The 20464-nt window shown below is 38.0% G+C and overlaps 1 annotated feature.

Annotated features, from left to right (window-relative positions):
* Window positions 19265-20464: an enhancer, noted in NCBI's record as "CDK7 strongly-dependent group 2 enhancer chr5:121434535-121435734 (GRCh37/hg19 assembly coordinates)". NCBI's record gives its function as "activates an origin of replication core promoter dependent on BRD2, BRD4, P300/CBP, MED14 and CDK7 cofactors, with strong dependence on CDK7, by STARR-seq in HCT116 cells {active_cell/tissue: HCT116}" and the evidence as "EXISTENCE:reporter gene assay evidence [ECO:0000049][PMID:35650434]".

Below are 20464 nucleotides of genomic sequence, written 5' to 3' on the forward strand. Positions count from 1 at the left end.
ACATCCATTTTCCTTTTCTTTCTAGTAAGAACAACCGGATTTTCCTTTGAGGGGCTTCCCACCCACCCCACTCAGTTGCATAGTGGAAGGACTGAGCATTTATGAGACTTACCCACTTCAAGAAGTGGTCATGAGATCCAGGTTTGGCCAATCAAGCCATCTCTCTAGATGGTTTAATTTTATCTGGGATCTGAATCTTGAGCAGAAGGACACTGTCAAAAATGTTGCTCCTCAAACTACTAAAGAAAGTGCCCAGGCCTGGCGCAGTGGCTCACACCTGTAATCCTAGCACTTTGGGAGGCCAAGGCGGGCGGATCATTATCATTCGAGGTCAGGAGTTCGAGACCAGCCTGGCCAACATGGCAAAACCCCATCTCTACTAAAAATACAAACAAACAAACAAACAAACAAAAAATTAGCTGGGCATGGTGGCACATGTCTGTAATCCCAAACTACTCTGGAGGCTGAGGCTGGAGAATTGCTTGAGCCCGGAGAATTCCTTAAGCCCAGGAGGCAGAGGTTACAGTGAGCGGAGATCCACCACTGCACTCCAACTTGGGCAACAGAGTGAGACTCCATCTAAAAAACAAACAAACAAATGAAAAAGTGCCCATTATGTCTTGCTACATGGATCCGTCCCCTGCCCCGTCACCCAAGCTACTTTAGGTGAGTACATTCTAAGACCTGGTTCTTCAGCATTTCCTTCTTTCTTTCTTACTCCCCGACCCACCCCCCCATCCCCCCCATACATTCCTTTGTGACTGAACATGGTCAGAGTCAATTTCTGTTGTTTTCCACCTAAGAAGGCTGACTGACACTGAGCAGGGTGTGGCTGCTTCTGTCACCTAATCAGTTCACATTATTCTCAGTTCAGGGTGATGGGTTTGGTTCAGTTTGAGTCAAGTTAGATTTCCCCTGCCCATGACTGCACAGCATCCTTGGTCACAGGGAAATATCACATGGAAGCTCGCCAATGTGTTGGCAAATCTATTACTTACATGATAATTTGCACTTGAAGATGAACATTCAAATGCAATTCCCACTGATGGCAAGTCAACAGTGACATCTCACTCTCCCTATAAGGGTCAGAGACATCCCTAGCTGTCATTTTACAGACTTGCTGCAGTGCTTAAAATTAAACTACTCAACTCCTCCAAACCCACTAAGAAAGATGGAGTGAAAAAGAAGAAACAGGTGTATAGATTATAATTTCAATGGACAGGCCAAATTACAGGAGAAGCAGGAAACGAAAGAATGTAATTATCCCTCATCTGAAAAAGGCTCTGCATGTGCCCATGAACAGCTTATTCCCTAGACTAGAGAAGTCTGAAACTGCTATTACTTGACCACAGGTTCCTGAGGGAAGACCTCTGCTATGCCAGACATAGTGTCAGAATGGCAGACCAAAGCAGCACCCCTAATGGGAGGGTAGAAAGTTTACACTGGATCCCAGATAAAATGCCCTGTTTCCAATCCTAGTGCTCCAATAAAAAAAAAAAAAGCTGTGTCTCTTTGGACAGTTTGTTTACTATCTCTGGCTTTTGTTATATTTAGGATTCAAGGATTAACCAAATTCTTTCTAAAGTATTTTTCCTAGTTTTAAAATCTCTGATTTTTGTGAATATTCAAGTTATTCCAATTACTTTCGATTCATTGATAATAATGTGTTCATTATGATTATTAATATTTAATCAAATTTTTTTAGTTGGAGTTTAAAACATTGGATGCATTTTGTGTGAGTTAGAATCTGCAGACTGCAATTTTCTTATTCTACATATTTTCCAATAGTGAAAGTCAATACATATTTATTTGTTTTACAAACATTTCTTGAACACATATATATGTTCCGAAGTGTAGTATACCATAATGGTGACTTGCACACGTGAGCACTAAAAGTTTAGAGCTGAATGAAGTTGATCCTTTTTTCCAGATTTGCTCCAACAGACTTTAAAATTCTTATCAGAGTATAAATAACTGACTAGAGCAGTAATGATGTGCAATATTTATTTTCTTAAAACATGTACACACTACCAAAAGAGAAAAACACACTACCCTTTGTCACACATGCTAATGAAAAGCTTAGTTGATTTTCACTCTCCTTCATTTCCTCTAAAATCTCTCTGGCTTAGGACTCTGTCAGCTGAAAAACAAACATGTGGCTACCACATTTGGGGACAATACAGTGTTTGCAAGCCCTGCGGGAGATAATCTAGCCACACATTGTGTTCCCTGTTCAATAACAAAACTATTATTCACAAAATTGGAGAAACCATAGTTCCTTTCCACTCAAATCTGAGATGATAATGATGATGACAATAATAATAATAAGCCACGGCTACATCAAGATACAAACAGCTTTTTTTGCTTTGATAAGATCCACAGCTGATTTCACTTTTGACCATGAGATTTTCTTCTCGTGAACAATTCTGCAGTATGTGCCATAAGAGAAGGGAAGGAATGTTGCTAATTCTTTTTTTGAGTTTCTAGCCCATCAATATCAAATCTTTAAATGGCAATGTCTGGCCCATTGGCCAAGAAATGAAAGTTGTTGTAATGCTATGTTCCTGGTATTTGTTAAATACATTTATTTTTGTAGGACATTTCACATAAATGGAAAACAGAAAGCCGAAACCATAAAGCAGGGCCTCTGAATTGCAGAAGCCAGAACAGTAATGCCACATTCAAAGCAATCAGGTTCAAGTGTAAATTCTTTTGTTTGAGGCTCAAGAAGCTCATACAAAGCTTGTTTTTTGGTAAAGAGTAATGGTTGTATGTGCTTTGGTTCCATGTGGTTTGAAAACAAAACAGCACAGAGAATAAAATTTAAAAAGTGGAAAGTTGGAGATGTGTAAGGGGAAAATGATTGAGAAAACAGAATACCATATAACACAAAGGAGAATACACTCTGAGTGTTGAATTAGGACATTGAGGATACTTAAAAAGTAATTAAGAAATGTAACAGAGTGAAATACAGAACTAGAAATCTTTTTACTTGGAGTGAAATGGAGGAGAGGAGTAAGTTAGCCTTAAAGTTAACAGTGTGCTTGTGTTCCCTTCTACTACTTATCCTAGCCTTCTGCCACATACCACTTCCAGGTATTCACCCAAATATAAAAAGTAGACAGTTGGGTACACACTTGTCTGTGTGTCAAGACCAAACTGAAAAAAAAAAAGTATAAACAAACTGAGTAGAAGAATTCCAGAAATAATAACTTTTAAATGTATCTGGCTTGGTTACCCATTCCTTTGGGCCACCTAAGGAATGGAAAAGTGGAGTTTAACTCTAAGGAATAGAAAAGTATTTCATTCTGGTGTCCTTAATGCATGTTCACGTGTGATGAAGTAAAGAATGTTAGTTACTGAAACAAAATGGGAAAATGAGAAGAGGTGATATGATAGGAGAATGGGTCTTTGAAGTACAGGGGATCAGAGTTCAAAGTAATTAGTTCTATTAACAATAAAAATAAGGGTTCACCGGGAGGCGAAGCTTGCAGTGAGCCGAGATTGCGCCACTGCACTCCAGCCTGGGTGACAGAGCCAGACTCCGTCTCAAAAAAAAAAAAAAAAAAAAAAAAAAGGGTTCAGCCAATTGGCAAAATTGCTTACAAGTAAAGTCCACATGATTTAATTGGTCCCAATAGACAGTCCAATGGCAAAATGGCAACGTTCTTCATGCTGTGGAGTGTATAGGGTCATTTTTGTTATTAATTGATACAATGAAGTGTGCTCCTATTTCTACCTCTGGACTTCTTTTCTGCTCCTAAGCTCTTGCTGGATTCAGTTTCACTGTCCCAGTACCCTAAAAGTTATTTAATATAACCTAGGCATGATCCTCCAAAATCGTGGGGTATAAGTCAGGAGGGTCCTGACTTATATTCTTCCTCTGCCTATCACATGCAATGATTGCAATCTTACTACTAGGCAGTCATCCCTCTGCTTTAACTTAACTCAGTGTGCATTGCCTTCTCTTAAGGCCCAGGGAAAACAAGATGACAAATGTCTAACGTCTTAATGGGAATTATCTGAGATTTAATTTTTTGTCCCTCTCTCCTGTAAAATGATAGATCTCAGAATATTTGAGGGTGTTGTGTGTGTTTGGAGTGAAGGCAGAGTGGAAGGAAAATGTTGATGAGGCTGTGAAAGTGAAACCCTGCTTCACAATTATGCTTGAGGTCAACTTTGAGAATCAGTTCTTTTTCTTTCTATTATGATTAGAATGTTACTCTTGATTATATAGCACCTTAATCAAACAATGAATTTTTTTTTTGAGGCAGAGTTTCACTCTTGTCTCCCAGGCTGGAGTACAGTGATGAAATCTCAGCTTACTGCAACCTCCACCTCCCAGGTTCAAGTGGTTCTCCTGCCTCAGCCTCCCCAGTAGCCAGGATTACAGGTGCATGACACCACACTCAGCTAATTTTTTTATTTTTATTTTTAGTAGAGACAGTGTTTCGCTATGTTGGCCAGGATGGTCTTGAACTCCTTACCTCAAATGATCAGCCTGTCTCAGCCTCCCAAAGTGCTAGCTGGGATTACAGGTGTGAGCCACTGCGCCCAGCCTGAAATTTTTTTATATAATGGCTCTTGAAGCCGTGAGTCTTTTAAACAGGCTCAGTTAGTTATAATTAGTCCTATAACTATATTGCAGTAAACATGGGTTTCTCTGACTTTTATATATTTTCTAATATTTCAGCTGTTTTATGGATCACAGTTATCTCTTTCAGGAGGCACAGAGAAAAAAACTTAAGCCCTGTGTCATAAAGTCTGTGGGAACTGTGTCTCCAATAGGTCACATAATGGCACTGGACTCTTTGACCCTATTCTAGGCTGCTTATGTGAAGAAGACAGGCTTGTTTGCCAGGGAGATATCTTTTATACGTTATGCTCAATGGTCTATATAAGTTTTTGAAATGGTTAACATAAGAGCCTATAGTACAGTGGCATATTGAAAAATAATAAATGCATTGATTAAATGAAAATATTAGGTGAAAATCTCAAAATGAAGTTATACAACCTTAAATGATCTGTGGTTAAGGAGTCTCCAATACCTAAATCATTGAGTTGAATATACAGGGTCTTTTCAAATTTGCTAAATAGATGCCTAGTCAAGGAAAGAAATAATTTAAAGAATAAGCAAAAACAAGTAATTATAAAAACTCCCTCAATTTAATCTCCCTCTCTAACAGGACAATACCTGTCCTCTCATTACTAATAATTGCTTCTGTTTCTTACCATTTACTATGCTCCTGGAACTATACAAAGTGCTTGAATGTATTACCTCACTTTTATATTCACAATAACCCTATGAGGTGGTTATTAATATTTTCATTTTATAGATAAGGAACATATCTATAAAGCTTAGAGAGATAAAGCATCATGCTCAGTTAAAACTTGGCAGAGCTGGATCTTGAACCCAGGTCTAGCCTGCTATAAGCACGATATTAAATTCTTGTTATGTGAAGTAGAAAAAAGGTAAGTAGTTGTTTCTTTCATTTTCCTTTCTTTGTTTAATTACTGGAAAAAATAAGCTGAGTTACTCATTAAAGTTTACATCACAAGGAGATTGTGGCCAGGCCAATTAAATAATTAGACTAGCAGTGACTGTCATTCTAGTGCCCATGGCTAAATGGCTGTGGGATACGTGTGACATACAAGTTAGCTGGGAAGGTGACAAGTAGTAGAAAGAACGTTGACTATGGAGACAGACAGTCCTTGGATAACTCTCACCTCTACTATTTACTAACAATAAGTACTTGGATGAATTACTTAACTATTATGAGACTTGGGTTTCGGCACCAAAAATAAAGATAATAAAATCTATCTTCAGGGTTGTTGTGAGAATGAAATGTTTGTAAGTGCATGTCAGAGCATCTAGCTTATGTTAGGCAATGAATAAATGGTAGTTATTACTACTTGGTACTTGGACATAGAATTTAAAAGTCGACAAAGACAACTGTATACAATCATGCAAAAAGGCATTTTCTATAAACAAGGAAAAAGGAACATTCTTTCCTTCTTAAAGTGCCTATTTTGCTACTTTGAGGCAGGCAGGCTTTTTTAAAAAAAGAAATCAGTAAGAAATTATTGAGATATGATTTATACAAAATAAAACGTACAACCTTCAAGTGTGCAGTTTGATGAATTTTTTTAAAATGTATATGCCCTTGTAGCCAGTACCACAAGCCTGATACAGAATTTTTCCATAATTTTACAAAGTCTTCTTGAGCCCACTCTACCCCTGCCCCAGGTAACCACAGTTTTGATTTTTTTCACCTCGATGTTTTATTTGCTCCAATACTTCAAGTTAGTAGGAATTTTACAGCAGCTCTTCTCTTGTGTCTATTCTTTGGTTCAGCGTAATGTCTGTAAGATTCGTCCATGTTGTTGCTCAATCTTGATGAGTAGTATTTCATGCTATGAACATATCATAATCGGTTTATTTGTTCATTTTGTTGGGGGGGGGGGAATTTCCCCCCAGATTGGGGCCATTATGAATAAAGCTGCGATGAACATTCATCTACAAATTATCCTATGGATGTATATTTTCATTTCCTTTTTGTAAATGGAGATAGAATTACTGCATCTTTAGAGTAAGTACATGTTTAATTTTACACAAAATTGTCAAATCGTTTTATAGTTAGTTGTATTATTTTTACATTCACACCAGCCACATATAAAGTTCTAGTTGTTTCACATCCTTATCAACCTCTGGTATTACAGTGTTTTCCAATTTAGCCATTGAGTGTGAAATGATATTTCATTGTCATTTTAATTTGCATTTCTTTAGTGACTAAAGATTTTAAGCATTTTTTTCATTTTCACACATTTATGGTATATCTGTTCAAATTTTTCCCAATTTTTAATTTTTTTTGTATTCTTATTGAGATGTAAAAGTTTTTTATACATTCAGGATATCAGACTTACTTAAGATAAATGCATTACAAATATTTTCTCTCAGTCTGTCGACTTAACTTTTCATTTTCTTAATGATGTCTTTTGCAGAATAGAGTTTGTAATTTTGATATATCCAGTATCAATTTGCTCTCTTTCACTATTGGTGTCCTTTGTATCCTAAGAAATCATTTTTTAGCCCAAGGCCATGAGATTTTCTTCCATATTTTTCTCTAGAAGTTTTCTAATTTTAGCTTTATCTTTAGGTCTATGATCCATTTCAAAATACTTTGTATATGGTATGAAGTAGGAGTTGAGGTTTATCTTTTTCCACATGAATATCCAGTTGATTCAGAACTGTTTTTTGAAAGGTTTAGTATTTCTCTAAGGTGTTCCTTAATACCTTTGTCAAAAATCAATCTACTTTATATGTGTGGGTCTATAACAAATATAGATATAACAAATCAGTGAAACAGAACTTTCTATTCTGTTTCACTAATCTATTTACCTATTCCTATACCAATACCATATTGTCTTGTTTATTGTAGCTTTCTAGTAAGTCTTCAAATCAGGTAGTGAAAGTCTTCCAACTTCATGTTTTTTTCCAAAACTATTCTGTTTTAGATCCTTTGCTTTTCTATATACATTTTAATAATAGCCTGTCAATTTCCATTTAAAAGACTGCTGGAATTCTGACTCAGGCTGTATTAAATCTATAGGTAAATTTGGAGACAATTTACATTTTAACAATATTAATATTCCAATCCATGAACGTGGTATATTGCTCCTTTTATTCAGGTTTTCTTTAACTTCTCTCAGCAATATCTTATAGTATTTAATCTAGAAAGCTTGCATGTCTTTTGTTAATTATTTTCTAAGTATTTTATTTGTTTTAAAATTATCATAGAGGAAAATGTTTAAGTTTAAGCTTATTGTTGTTGTTACTAGTTTATAGAAAGACAATTTATTTTATATATTGACTTTATATCCTCTTAAAAACTTTCTCTCATCAAAATTTAAGGAGGAGAATAGTAAAAGACCTCAAAAGAGAGCTGAAGGATATAAATAAGAAAACAAGATCAAGAGACACAAGGAATGATTCTATATAAAGACTTTTGGAAAAAAGACAATGAAAAAAACAGGGCCATAACAGTTAACCGCTGCTATGTAACAAATCATCTCAAAATTTAGTGCCTTAAAATAAAACACATAATATTATTTCACAATCCTGTAGGATAGCTGAGTTGTTCTTCTGCTATTATCACCTGGGCTCCCTCATATAACTGCATTCAGCTATATCTTTGTTTCAGAATTATATGTGATATATATTTTATTCTATTTGTGAGTAGATCAATTTATTGGGGAATATAATTTTGACCACAGAAATTCCTATTGAATAGAACATGAATAATTTGTTTTACATCTCACAATATTAGAAATAACTAGATACTTCCAAAATATTCAGTTGCTATTTAAAAGATTAATACTTTTGTAACAATTATGGTGACTCATAAAAATTTAAAAGCAAAAAGGATAGCATACTTTATTCGCTTTTTAAATAAAGTTAACCTGTCATAGAATCAGTAGCAGAGCTGCTTCACAGAAGATAGAAATATTTGTATATATGAAAGCATTATTCATTTAATAATAGATGAAAGGGATATAATTTTAAATAAAATATTATAGTGCATTCATACAAACATACAGCTCTGTGTGTGTGTATTTTAAAACCCTTAATATGCAACATTACATGTCGAAACTGATTGTCTGCACCAAGGTTTTTTCTTTGTTGTTCTTTATTTTAGTAACCATAACCCCAGCTGACTATTCCAGAAACCTGAGACTCATCGCTCAGGTCACTCTGTCTTTTACCCCAACATCCAATCCATTTTCAAATATGGTTAATTGCGCCTCCTTTATATTTCTTGGACATTTCTGGTCCTCCTTGGACATTTCAAACACCTCTGTGCAAGTCACCAGCCATCTCTCTGTTAGGCAATAACCTCCTAACCAATTTCCCCACATCCGCTCATGTCCACCCACCCTTCAGATACTCCATATTGCACCTAGGATGATGTTTTCATAAACACAAATCTGACCATGCCATTTCTGTCATCAAAACAATTTAGGGAATCTCACTACCTTTGAGTAAAGTAAACAATCTATACTATGGTCTAATGCTCCCCACTCTTGACTACTTCTGCAGGTTCAATACCACCAGCACCCTCATCTCCCTACACAGCCTTACCTCCTTTACACTACTACTAATTGCAGGTTCCAGACCAAACTCTCATGTTCTTTGAGAGCCTCAGGGCCTTTCCTTTGCTATTCCCTTTTCATGAACTGCTTTTTCCTCCACTCTTTTGCTAGCCAACCTCATCTCACTCTTCAAGCCTCAGTTTAAATGTCATTGCTTTCTGGAGACAAAGTCAGCCCCTTCTCTTTGCCCTTACATAGCATACTGCACTTCTTTGTAAAGCCACCCTCACCTGTAATTATGTATTCAATGTCTGTCTTCTCAACTAAATTGTAATTTCCATGATATAAATTTTATCTGTAACGTATTCATCCAAGCTGTATATTTCCATCTGTAGGAACGATGACTTCCTTTATGTATTGTGTGTAGACCAAGTACAATAACTGTTCTTAATACATGTTAATAAGTAGTAATCATAAAGACACTTTGTTCCAGCTCAGCATGGTTTCAACAAACATGCATTACACTCTCAGAATATGTGTGCCAAATGAAAATTCACTTCAGCTCTCTCAGCATGGGAACTTAAGTATTTACTCATTTTGGAGAGAAATAGGCATAATTTAACCAGAATAGCAGAGTGTGTGCTCCAGAGAGGTCTTGGGCTGAAGAAATTGAAACCTTAATCTCATTAAAATGACAGTCTTGGCATAAGTTAATGGGGAATCTTGCCCAATGCTTGACCACACCAATCTGGCTTTATTCAGGCCCTCACATTTACATGCACCAAAAATCTACATTTCTTAATTTTAGAGGGGTTAAGGTAACTTCATTGTAAACAAAACAGTTTTGTGGTAGAGTAAATAGATTTAAGGCTATCCCATTGAAAATTTTCATTTGTAAATTGAATAATTCATGTAACTAAGCAGTCTTTTTTACATCTTGTTAGGAGCCTGGTTATTTTATAAAGTACCCTGTGTTGAGAATGGTGTTTAGGTATTTCCACAATGACTGCGTGGCAAATTGTGAATGAGATGAGAGGAAATACTTTAAGATGATCTAACACTAAATTCTAAGGTTTATGTGGCAGAATGCATGCATGAGTGTTGAGATAGGGTTCTTCAAAATGCTGTGACTCAGTTTGGGAGATAACAGGGCGCCAGCTAAAAGCAGCTCCAGCTGCAGTCCAAATGGTGATATTTTCATATGTGAAGTGCTAATAAGCAGTTAGTAATCTTTCAAGCAAACCACAAAGGAAGTCCACAAATTACTACAGAACACTTTATTTATGTTAACACTCTTGCACACAATCAAATAGGCTTTTTATCCTAAGTGTCTCCATTAAAGGTTTTCAGAAAAAGAAAAAAAACAACAACAAAACAAAACCTAAGACTAGCTATAGGAACAGCAACAAAAAACAGAAACAGAAGTTACTGTTTTATTAACACACTTGTGTTATGCTATAACCCTGTACTAATAATCAGTTATATAAACAAGTGATTAGTGAGAACAAAACTGACACAATGACACAATTCAATCATTTCCTTATTATTAATGGATGTTATCAAGTTGATATTTCTGGAAGTAAATAATATATTTTCCCATTAATACTAAGTAACTACAAAATAAAATACTGCTATAATATATTACATAATCACAATCATCTTTTTTAAAGATATGTTTTTCATAATGGCCCCCATGTTAATTTCTGAGAGACTAGACCATAACACTTTGTAAGAGAATGGTGATCTGTTTTAAATATTCGATGTTTATTTCACATTAGCTAGAGACTGACACTGAGGATTAAGCCTAAAGACATGTTTAATGAAGACAGGCTTAAGTATGTGCTCTCTATTTTGGCATTTTTCTTGGAGACTGAGTGAAGTTTCTAATTGCTTAATTACTATTAGGATGATTGTCTATTGTTTATTGCAGCGGTTCCCAACGTTTTTGGCACTAGGGACCAGTTTCATGGAAGGCAGTTTTTCCATGGACCAAGGTTAGGGTGTGGAGAATGGTTTCAGGATGAGTCAAGTACATTAAATTTATTGTGTACTTTATTTCTATTATTATTACATTGTAATATATAATGAAATAATTATACAACTCACCAAAATGTAAAATCAGTTGTTTTCCTGCCACTGTACAGTCCCATCTGGGGGTGATGGGAGACAGTGACAGACCATCAGGCATTAGATTATTATAAGGAGCATGCAACCTAAATCCCTCATATGCACAGTTCACAATGGGGTTCACGCTCATATGAGAATCTAATGCCATGATTGATCTGACAGGAAGCAAAGCTCAGGTGGTAATGTGAGGAAAGAGGATCTTGGTAAACATGCTATTGTAAGTTTAATGTCTCTACTCCCCTTCCGAGAACCCCATGTCTCCTTACTGGGAAACTTCAAGTCAAATGGTTTTAGGATTTACTGACAGAGGTTACTTGCTAGTATGAATTTGAGAAATTCATGGGAGGTACCTCACCAGGAACCCAAAAAATGGAATTTTTGACGTGGGGAGTGTCTGTAAATACAGATGAAGCTTCACTTGCTGGCCCACTGCTCACCTCCTGCTGTGCAGCCCAGTTCCTAACAGGGATGGTACTGGTCCGTGTCCTGGGGTTTGGGAACCACTGGTTTATTGAAAAGACATTCTGCTGGGTTGGTATGGAGCCCAAGTTATATTTGGGTTACACATTAGGGACTACTTCTTGTGATTTTGAGCCTAAATTATAATAAACTCTAGATATACACACCCTATGCCTATCAGAATAGTAATGAAGGGGTAAATGGCCCCCAACACAAGTGGCAATGGTTTTTGGAATAATACCAAAAGCCAACGAAATGTGATGGAGATTTACTGAAGCTAAGCATTAATTTTGGGGATAGGATGTTCTCGATGTAGGCCTAGATGTATGCAGCATCGTGTAAGGCTATCTATTAAAGAAGTCTAAAAAATTCACTTGTGATATTGAGTCATAAAGTTGGTTTTTAATCCATTCTCAACAGACTCTCAATTTTTAAAATTTTTGTCAACTTCTTATAATAATTCCTGGGAGAAAAGAGGATCTTGGTAAACATGCTATTATAAGTTGAATGTCTCTACTCCTCTTCCGAGAACCCCATGTCTCTTTACTGGGAAACTTCAAGACAAATGGTTTTAGGATTTAGTGACAGAAGTTACTTGCTAGTATGAATTTGAGAAATTCATGGGAGGTACCTCACCAGGAACCCAAAAAATGGAATGTTTTATGTGGGGAGTGAATGACTTAAAACTGCATTGGGATAAATCCTTGGAAACAGAAAAATATTCTCTTTAGGTCTAGTGAACTCAAAACCACGAAATACTTTCCTTTCACGGTGGACTTCCTCAGTTCTCTAGAATGAATGTATGGTAGGATGGAGACTTACTGGAATTCATATGTCAAGTTCATAACTGAGTGGGTAGAAGCTCTCCTTTTAATTCCTACAGTAAACGACAAAAATGAGTAATCCTCTAGGGGGCAATAGAGTATGACTTAGGCTCAGAATTGCCGGGATCAAGATCCTGAGGGAAAGATTGGTCATGAAGAATTCTTAAACTGTCTTACACTTGAAAAAAACAGTCGGCTGGTTCAACTTTATCACAGCCCCTCAAGAATCTCCCTGATTTTTTGTGGTAAGGCTGAACAGCACCGAGGTGGAACAAGGGATGAGTGTAGCTGCCCTGCCGGTGCATTACAAATGGATGGAACCTGAACCCCAGAACTGGGGAAGATGAGAAGAGGAAGGGTTGCAGCAAGGCTGACTCAGGCTCTTGAAGTGGGATGCTCTCCAGTGAGGTTTCTGACCCTGAGGAGCCCGTCTTGTCAGGGGCTTTACTGGGGACGGTGTGCTTTTATTTATTTTCAGTATGAATTTTCAGCTCTTCAGTTCTCTACATTTTATAGTACCCAGGACGGCAGAAAACTTTTCCTAGGCCACTTTGGATTTACCAAAACTTTGGTGGTTTGGCCTGCATCATGCTGCTTTAGTTTTGTTGGTGCAGCTCATCTAGCGATCAACTGCTCAGGTAATAGAAAGAACTCCGTGAAGTTATCTTCGTCCTCATATTACGAAAACAATGACCCTGGGTGGGTGGGGAGTAAAATCCCAATGCTGATATACAGTCAGCCCTCCCTGTTTATGGGTTCCGCATCCATGGATTAAACAACCACTGATGGAGGAAAATGTTTAGGAAAAAAAATGTGTCTGTACTGAATATGTAGACTTTTTTTCTTATTTAGGTAGCATTTACATTGTATTAGATATTATAAAGAATCTTAAAATGATCTAAAGTATATGGGGGGATATGCATAGGTTATATGTCAATACTATGCCATTTTATATCAGAGAGTTGGGTATCCACTGATTTTGTTATCTGTGAGAGGTCCTGGAATGAGTCCCCCATAAGTACCAAGAGATGACTATATTGCCTTTCCAAAGTTCTAGTGGAAACTTGGACTGACATAGGTGTGGTGGCTTTCCAGGGTACCTGTTGGTAAGCCTGCCTGACCTAGGTGAAGAAGAGAAAAAGCATGTTAGAGTGATGAGAGGAGGGAATGTGGTGTCCGAACACATACGGCATTTTCTTCTTGGTAGAGCTGCATGAAGAACTAATGGGGGAAAGGGGTGACAGAGGACAGAGTATTTTTGCAAACATTTATAGTCTCTCTTGCCCCTTTGTTTTCTTCCAAGGAGAAAAAAATTCTTACTGGCTGGATTTCATTTTCCATGAAGAATGTGGGGTGATGAGATAGTTCGTATGAGAAAAACAATCAAAACACAGGAGGAGAATAAACTTGACAGAGGGCTGCGTACAGCAGGGAAAGTCACTGTGGGCAGCCGGAGCTATTGGGAAAGAAGTGGTCTTAGTAAAAGGACAGTTCTGGAAGGAAGATGAGAGAGAAAGGGTGCCAGTGATTGGATCATTTTAGAGGACTGAGTTGAGTTTGTAAAGAGATGAGGAATAAGAAAACTATCCAGCAAAGAATGTTAAGTCATGTGGCTTATATTAACAGTATGCTGTCTGTTTTCAGGCATTTTCCCCACCAAGAGACTTAGTAAAGATTCCAAATACTTTTATTGACTGTAGAGGAATAGGCCATTTGGGGGCAGAACTCAATTATCTTTAGAATACAATTATCTAGTATAACGATTTCGAATGTTATTATCTGCTAACCTAAATTACTTCTTTTAGCTCTTTGTTCACTTTATATTTGGATAATACACTTTCCTAAGTAGCAATAAATCTGAAAAATATTTTAGAAATGTATTTTTAATTCAACAAAAATATAAAGTTCTAGCTGGGTATTACCAGGCTTTCCGCCAAGTACAGTAATTGTTACTTGTGGAATTTTCTTAGAATGGCCAAGGCATTTGACTCAATAACTATAACTCTGGAATGAGTAGCTGGGTGGAGTCACTAGTCTTTTGGAAAGTTGGTGGGTTAGTTCAAGCCTATATGCTAGAAGAAGAGATTTATAGGTGGATTCACTCGGCAGATCTGAGAAACATAGGGTGTATGTTTTATTCAAATTGAACATTAAATTTCATTACCTATGCGATTTGTTCCCCCTTTCTCCTAACCAATGGTTTGTTTCTTTTTTCTTTTTCTTTTTTTTTTTTGAGACAAGGTCTCACTGTCACCCAGGTTGGGGTGCAGTGGTGCAATGTTGGCTCACTGCAACCTCCGCCTCCAGAGTTCAAGCGATTCTCCTGCCTCAGCCTCCCAGCTAGTTGAGATTACAGGCTCCTGCCACCACATCCGGCTAATTTTTGCATTTTTTTTTTTTTTTTAGTAGAGACGAGGTTTCACCATGTTGCCCAGGCTGGTCTTGAACTTCTGACCTCAGATGATCCACCTGCCTCAGCATCCCTAAGTGCTGGGACTACAGATGTGAGCCACCACTCCAGGCCCGTTTGTTTCTTTTTCCCTTTTATCTTCATGCTTTTTTAAATACCATGGTGATAAACCATCTATTAAATTATAGTCTTTAGAATATATAAATGCAAAGTCCACATTTAAGTCAGGTTAGGAAGTGGGTGGGAGTTGTCAGTTATTTGAGAACACACATGTACTGAAAACAACCACAAAGCTATGAGGAACTGAGGCAAATTTAGGGAGCAGAGGGCGACAGGATCACTGCTCAACCAAGCAACACAGCAGGCACAGTTCTCAGCCACAATGCCCAGATCCTTTCTTTGAGTTGAAACTGAATTTCCTTGTTATTCTTTCCAAGATGGAAATGTGTAGAACCAATGTGTAGAAATGCAGAATATAAATGCAAGCAAATAAATTGCAAATGGGACAGCCTAAGTACAAAAGTTAACTTTTAAAAATCATTTGTGAATAAGTTGGTTCATCTCCAAAGTGTTACTTCAGATGTGCCCAAGTGCATAGAAAAATTCTGACAAGCTTGGATTTGTAATAAACATACTTCTTGGATGCTTCATATTTCCAAAATGTTAATAAGCTAAATTTTGAGTTTAAAATTAGCTTAAACAAAATGTTAGCGTTTTGATTTGAAACTTTATGGGGCATGTGTCCCCCCCTTGCATGCCTTCCTAAACTCCAGAGGTAGGACAGCTAAAATCCACACCTCTCAGAGTGCCCTGAAGCCAGAGTTCAAGAATTAGGTTCTGAAACCAAACGAGATGTACAAAATTTGAAACTGAAGTAAGACAGAGTTTCTTCTTTTTCAGTTTTTGCTGATTTTGCTGACAAGCATGATTATGCGGGAATTGAGATTTTCAGCTGCAGAGGACATTCCAGGGTCCATTCAATAGCTTTGTGGGTCTAGTGTGTACTGCAGGGTTTAGGAGGTGCAGGACATCTCTGGAGCTGACAGTTGCACCTTGCAGATCCCTGGATTCCAGCTAAAGTATGTGTTACTGGAGCCATAGTTCCAGGGACAGCTTCCAGATTCCCAGCTTCCACTGAAAATGTGGCCGAGGTAGCAGCTCCCTTGGTAAGCCAGTGTTACAGAATCTTCCTGCAATTATTTCTGGAGACCAGGCTAGACTCCAATACTCCATCTCTTTCAATAATTTTATAAGAATGTAATTTCTCAATTTAAATTATTTTCTGCTTAAAATAGAGTGTTTTTTGTTATCTGTAACTGAATCTTGATTGATAACAATGTTTGAGACAATAGGTTACGTATTTAACCTACTTGTGATTGATGCAAGCAAGGAAGTACTTACCTTTTTATTTATTTATTTATTTTGAAACGGAGTTTTGCTCTTGTTGCCCAGGCTGGAGTGCAATGGCATGGTCTCAGGTCACCGCAACCTCCACCTCCTGGGTTCAAACAATTCTCCTGCCTCAGCCTCCTGAGTAGCTGGGAGTACAGGCATGCGCCACCACGCCTAGCTAATTTTGTATTTTTAGTAGAGACGAGGTGTCTCCATGTTGGTCACGCTAGTCTCGAACTCCTGACCTCAGTTGATCCGCCCACCTTGGCCTCCCAAAGTGCTGGGATTATAGGCGTGAGCCACTGCACCCTACTTACCTTTAAATGAGGGGATAATTGTAATTTTTGGCAGCAGGTGGTGAAACAGTAAAATAGTAATTTTTGGCAGCTGGTGGTGTATCACCTGTAATGAGTGCCTATAGAAAACCTGGCTTTGACGGACTGAGTGATAAAGGTTGTGGCATAGCAGGAGGATATGATGAATAAGGATAAACTGGCTGCTGCAAACTGCGCTGGAGAGATTTTAAAAAGAAATGGGAAATTCAGGGCTTTAAATTATCCATTCAATGTGGTGAGAGAGCCAGGGAATTTTTAGCCTTAAAAGAATCTTCTTTCTTGTGGCTGCTGAGCTGATGTAGCCAAAAATCAATCACAAAATCTGTCCCTATGGCTTGTTGAATCACCTGGCTGGTTTCTGTCCCACTTGGGGTCTCCTCTTTCGCTTTGGAGCCCCCATCCCTCTGTCTCTGCAGGGAGGAGCTTCTATCTTCTGCTTTCTCTCTTCTATCTTGCCTATTAAGCTCTCTGCTCCTTAACCCACTCCACGTGTGTCCATGTCCTTTTATCTAAACCGGCATGAGGACCTAGAACCCTGGTGTTCCTCCCCTCATCCGAGCTGTATCACTTGTATATGTAGCTTTGAGTTCCTACTCATCTAAGCATGATAAATTCCTAGAAAGAGAATTTTTTATAAAAAGATATGTGCACTTTTCATTTGCTAGTCACTGCCAAATTGCCCTCCAAGAGAATTATTTGCACACTCATCAACAGCATACGAAAGCGCCGATTTTCTGTATCCTCCCCAACTCAGGGTTTTGTCAGATGTTTTGATCTTCATCAACTAGATAAATAGAAATAGATGTTTCATTATAGCTTTAATTTGCATTTTTATTATGGGTTATTTTGAGCCTTTTTTAACTGTAAAAGTAATTTGTATTTTTGTTCCTGTTAAGTGTGATATCCTTCGTCTCCTGGATTGTGAGTCCTTTCCATTTTATTTACGGTAGTTAACTGTATAATGGAATAAGCTTTTTTTTTATTGTCTTGTATGTTGAAATATTGCTCTCCCTTGGCTATAGTACTTTTATTCCAGGCAGAAAGTAAAGTTTACTTAACTTTTATGTGAGTGACTTTATTTTTTTATTTTTAATTTTTTAATGATCTTTCACTTTTCTGACAGGCTTAAGAAAGCCTTTCCTATTTTAAGAGTGCAAAAATATTCTCCCATAATTTTTTTCTGGTTTCCAGAAATGTTTGTATGTTTCTGGTTTCTATTGTTGTATTTGAAAGTATGGCATTCTTTTTTGTGTAAAGCATGAGATTAGAATCTCTTTTTGTTTTCCCATCCAGATGACAAAACCCACAATTTTAACAAGTATTCAAGATTGCCTTCTTGAGAAGGTTCTCACAGAGGACATCTTACCCGTTCTATTAGCCATGTGCCCCTGAGGGTCCAGTCATTCCTAAGTGCCTTTCAAGCTGCTCCCTCACAGTTGGATTTGTTTTATTTTTTATTACAGCTTGTAATTGAGAGACACTGAGGCTTGCACATCATGTAAAGGCAGGAAGACCACCAGGAGAAACTTATGTTTTTACCAAGTCTCATGCTGCTGTCAATCTGATGGGGTGTAGGGCTACTCACACCTGCAACATTGCTTCTTAATGGGTTGGTATCCCATGTGGGTAATACAGGCATGGATTACCATACTTAATTATATTAGCAACAGTATTTTTTTAATGTAATTCAGTTAGTGATCAACAACAACAAAAAACCCTTTTGTATATGTGAAGGAAAGTTAAAATAATAGTTATTCTTTTAACTGCCTTTATTGTTTTTGGTTCAAAAATAATAAGCTTTAAAATAGTTGTTTAAAATTATTTACTTATTTATCTATTTATTTATTTTAGAGAGAGTTTCGCTCTTGTTGCCCAGGCTGGAATGCAATGGTGTGATCTCAGCTCACTGCAACTTCTCTCTCCCGGATTCAAGCAATTCTCCTGCCTCAACCTCCCGAGTAGCTGAGATTACAGGCACCCACCACCATGCCTGGCTAACTTTTTATATTTTTAGTAAAGACAGGGTTTCACCATGTTGGCCAGGCTGGTCTCAAACTCCTGACCTCAGGTGATCCACCCGCCTTGGCCTTCCAAAGTGCCGGGATTACAGGTGTGAGCCACCGCACCCGGCCTATTTTTATTTTTAAAGACAGGATCTTGCTCTGTCACCCAGCCTGGAGTGCAGGGGCATGATCACGGCTCACTGCAGCCTCAACCTCCTGGGATCAAGTGATCCTCCCACCTCAGCCTCCAAAGTACCTAGGACCACAGGTGCACACCACCATGCTTGGCTAATTTTTAATTTTTTTTTTTTCTGTAGAGATGAGGTTTCACTATGTTGCCCAGGCTGGTCTTGAACTCCTGGGCTCAAGCAGTCCTCCTGCCTTGGCTTCGTAAAGTGCTGGAATTACAGGCATGAGCCACCAGGCCTAGCCTAAAAATATTTTTTATTAGTAAATATATTGCTTTTTTTATTTTAGAAATTTCAGTGTGTTGTTGAGTCAATAAAAAATGGGCTGCTTTCTGAGACCAATTTTCCTAAAAAATCAGAATTATCAAGTCTGTCTATAAACCACTCATGAATGCTTCCTGCAGGTTAAAGTGTGAGTGGTTTTCATGTGACTGCTGCAGCCAATGCTATACAAGAATCCATGACCATGTGAAGACCATACGTGGCTGATCACTGGGAAAACAAAAGTAGGCATTAATAAAAAATTAAATGGGAAATAATACGAGGTAAAACTAAACTTTGATTGAGAACTTATTTTTGCCAAGCACTATGGTAAGTGCTATACATGCAGTACCTCATATAATCACCAACCCAAGAAGGTAGGAACTACTATTCCTCTGTTTATAAATGAGAAAAGAGCCTCAGGTGAACTGATTTCCAGTGTCATACAGCCAGAAAGAGCAGAAGCAGGGGCTGTAGCAACTCTGTCATGCTGACTGTTAGAAAGCACGAAGACTGGAGGCGTCAGAGGTCAGATGACTCAGGGCTGAGCAAGCTGGGATGGAAGTAGAATGAGAGGACAAGGAGAACTCTGCCGCTCAGGTGACCTGGACCCCATCTCCCCACAGCCAACTATCTCTCTTGCTCCCACTTGTAAGGCAACCCCAGTGTAGAGGGCAGTGCTAGGGTGGGGTGTGGCAGGATAAGATGTGGTAGATTCTATCTCTTATGGCATTGGGATAGCTCATTGGAAAAGGGCAAATAGGCTGAATAGGGAAATAGGTGAAAAGGAATGCAAGATCCCACTATTATCACCAGGTAAGCAGCCTTTGGACCAGGCGCTGGCTGGAAGACCAGGTCCACAAGAAGGCAAGGAGACATACAGGGAATGCCTGCCCCTGCATCTGCTTAGACACACTAGCACTCCGGCCACACAGCAGTCCCTACACAGACTCTTACAGACATAGAGATCACGCTGGGGACTCACTGCTACAAACCAGGGGAGAAGGAAGGAGCCAGAGGGAGTGGCTAATCTGAGATGGCTTGGAGCCCCCAGAATTTTACCATCTTCTATTCATCTTCTGTATATTTTCCCCAAGATTCAGCTGCTCTTGAACACTCCTGCCAAGGAATGGGTCAGGCGGTCAGTAACCACATGAAAAATTCTGCCTGTCGTTTTGATACTGATGGCTCTCAGAAAGCTGGCAACTGTTTGGAAAAAGTGTATGTGCTTCTGAGATTTTAGGTGTCTAATCTTTAAAAAAAAAAAAAGTCCTAGAATTACTAAAGTCTTTTATATCACCTGGTTTGAACTTGATAAATTGCAAGAAAGCAGTTTTAAAACTTGTGTGAGACTCTGAGTAGCACATGGACAGAT

The sequence above is a fragment of the Homo sapiens genome, chromosome 5 (assembly GCF_000001405.40).
Source record: "Homo sapiens chromosome 5, GRCh38.p14 Primary Assembly".
NCBI lineage: Eukaryota > Metazoa > Chordata > Mammalia > Primates > Hominidae > Homo > Homo sapiens.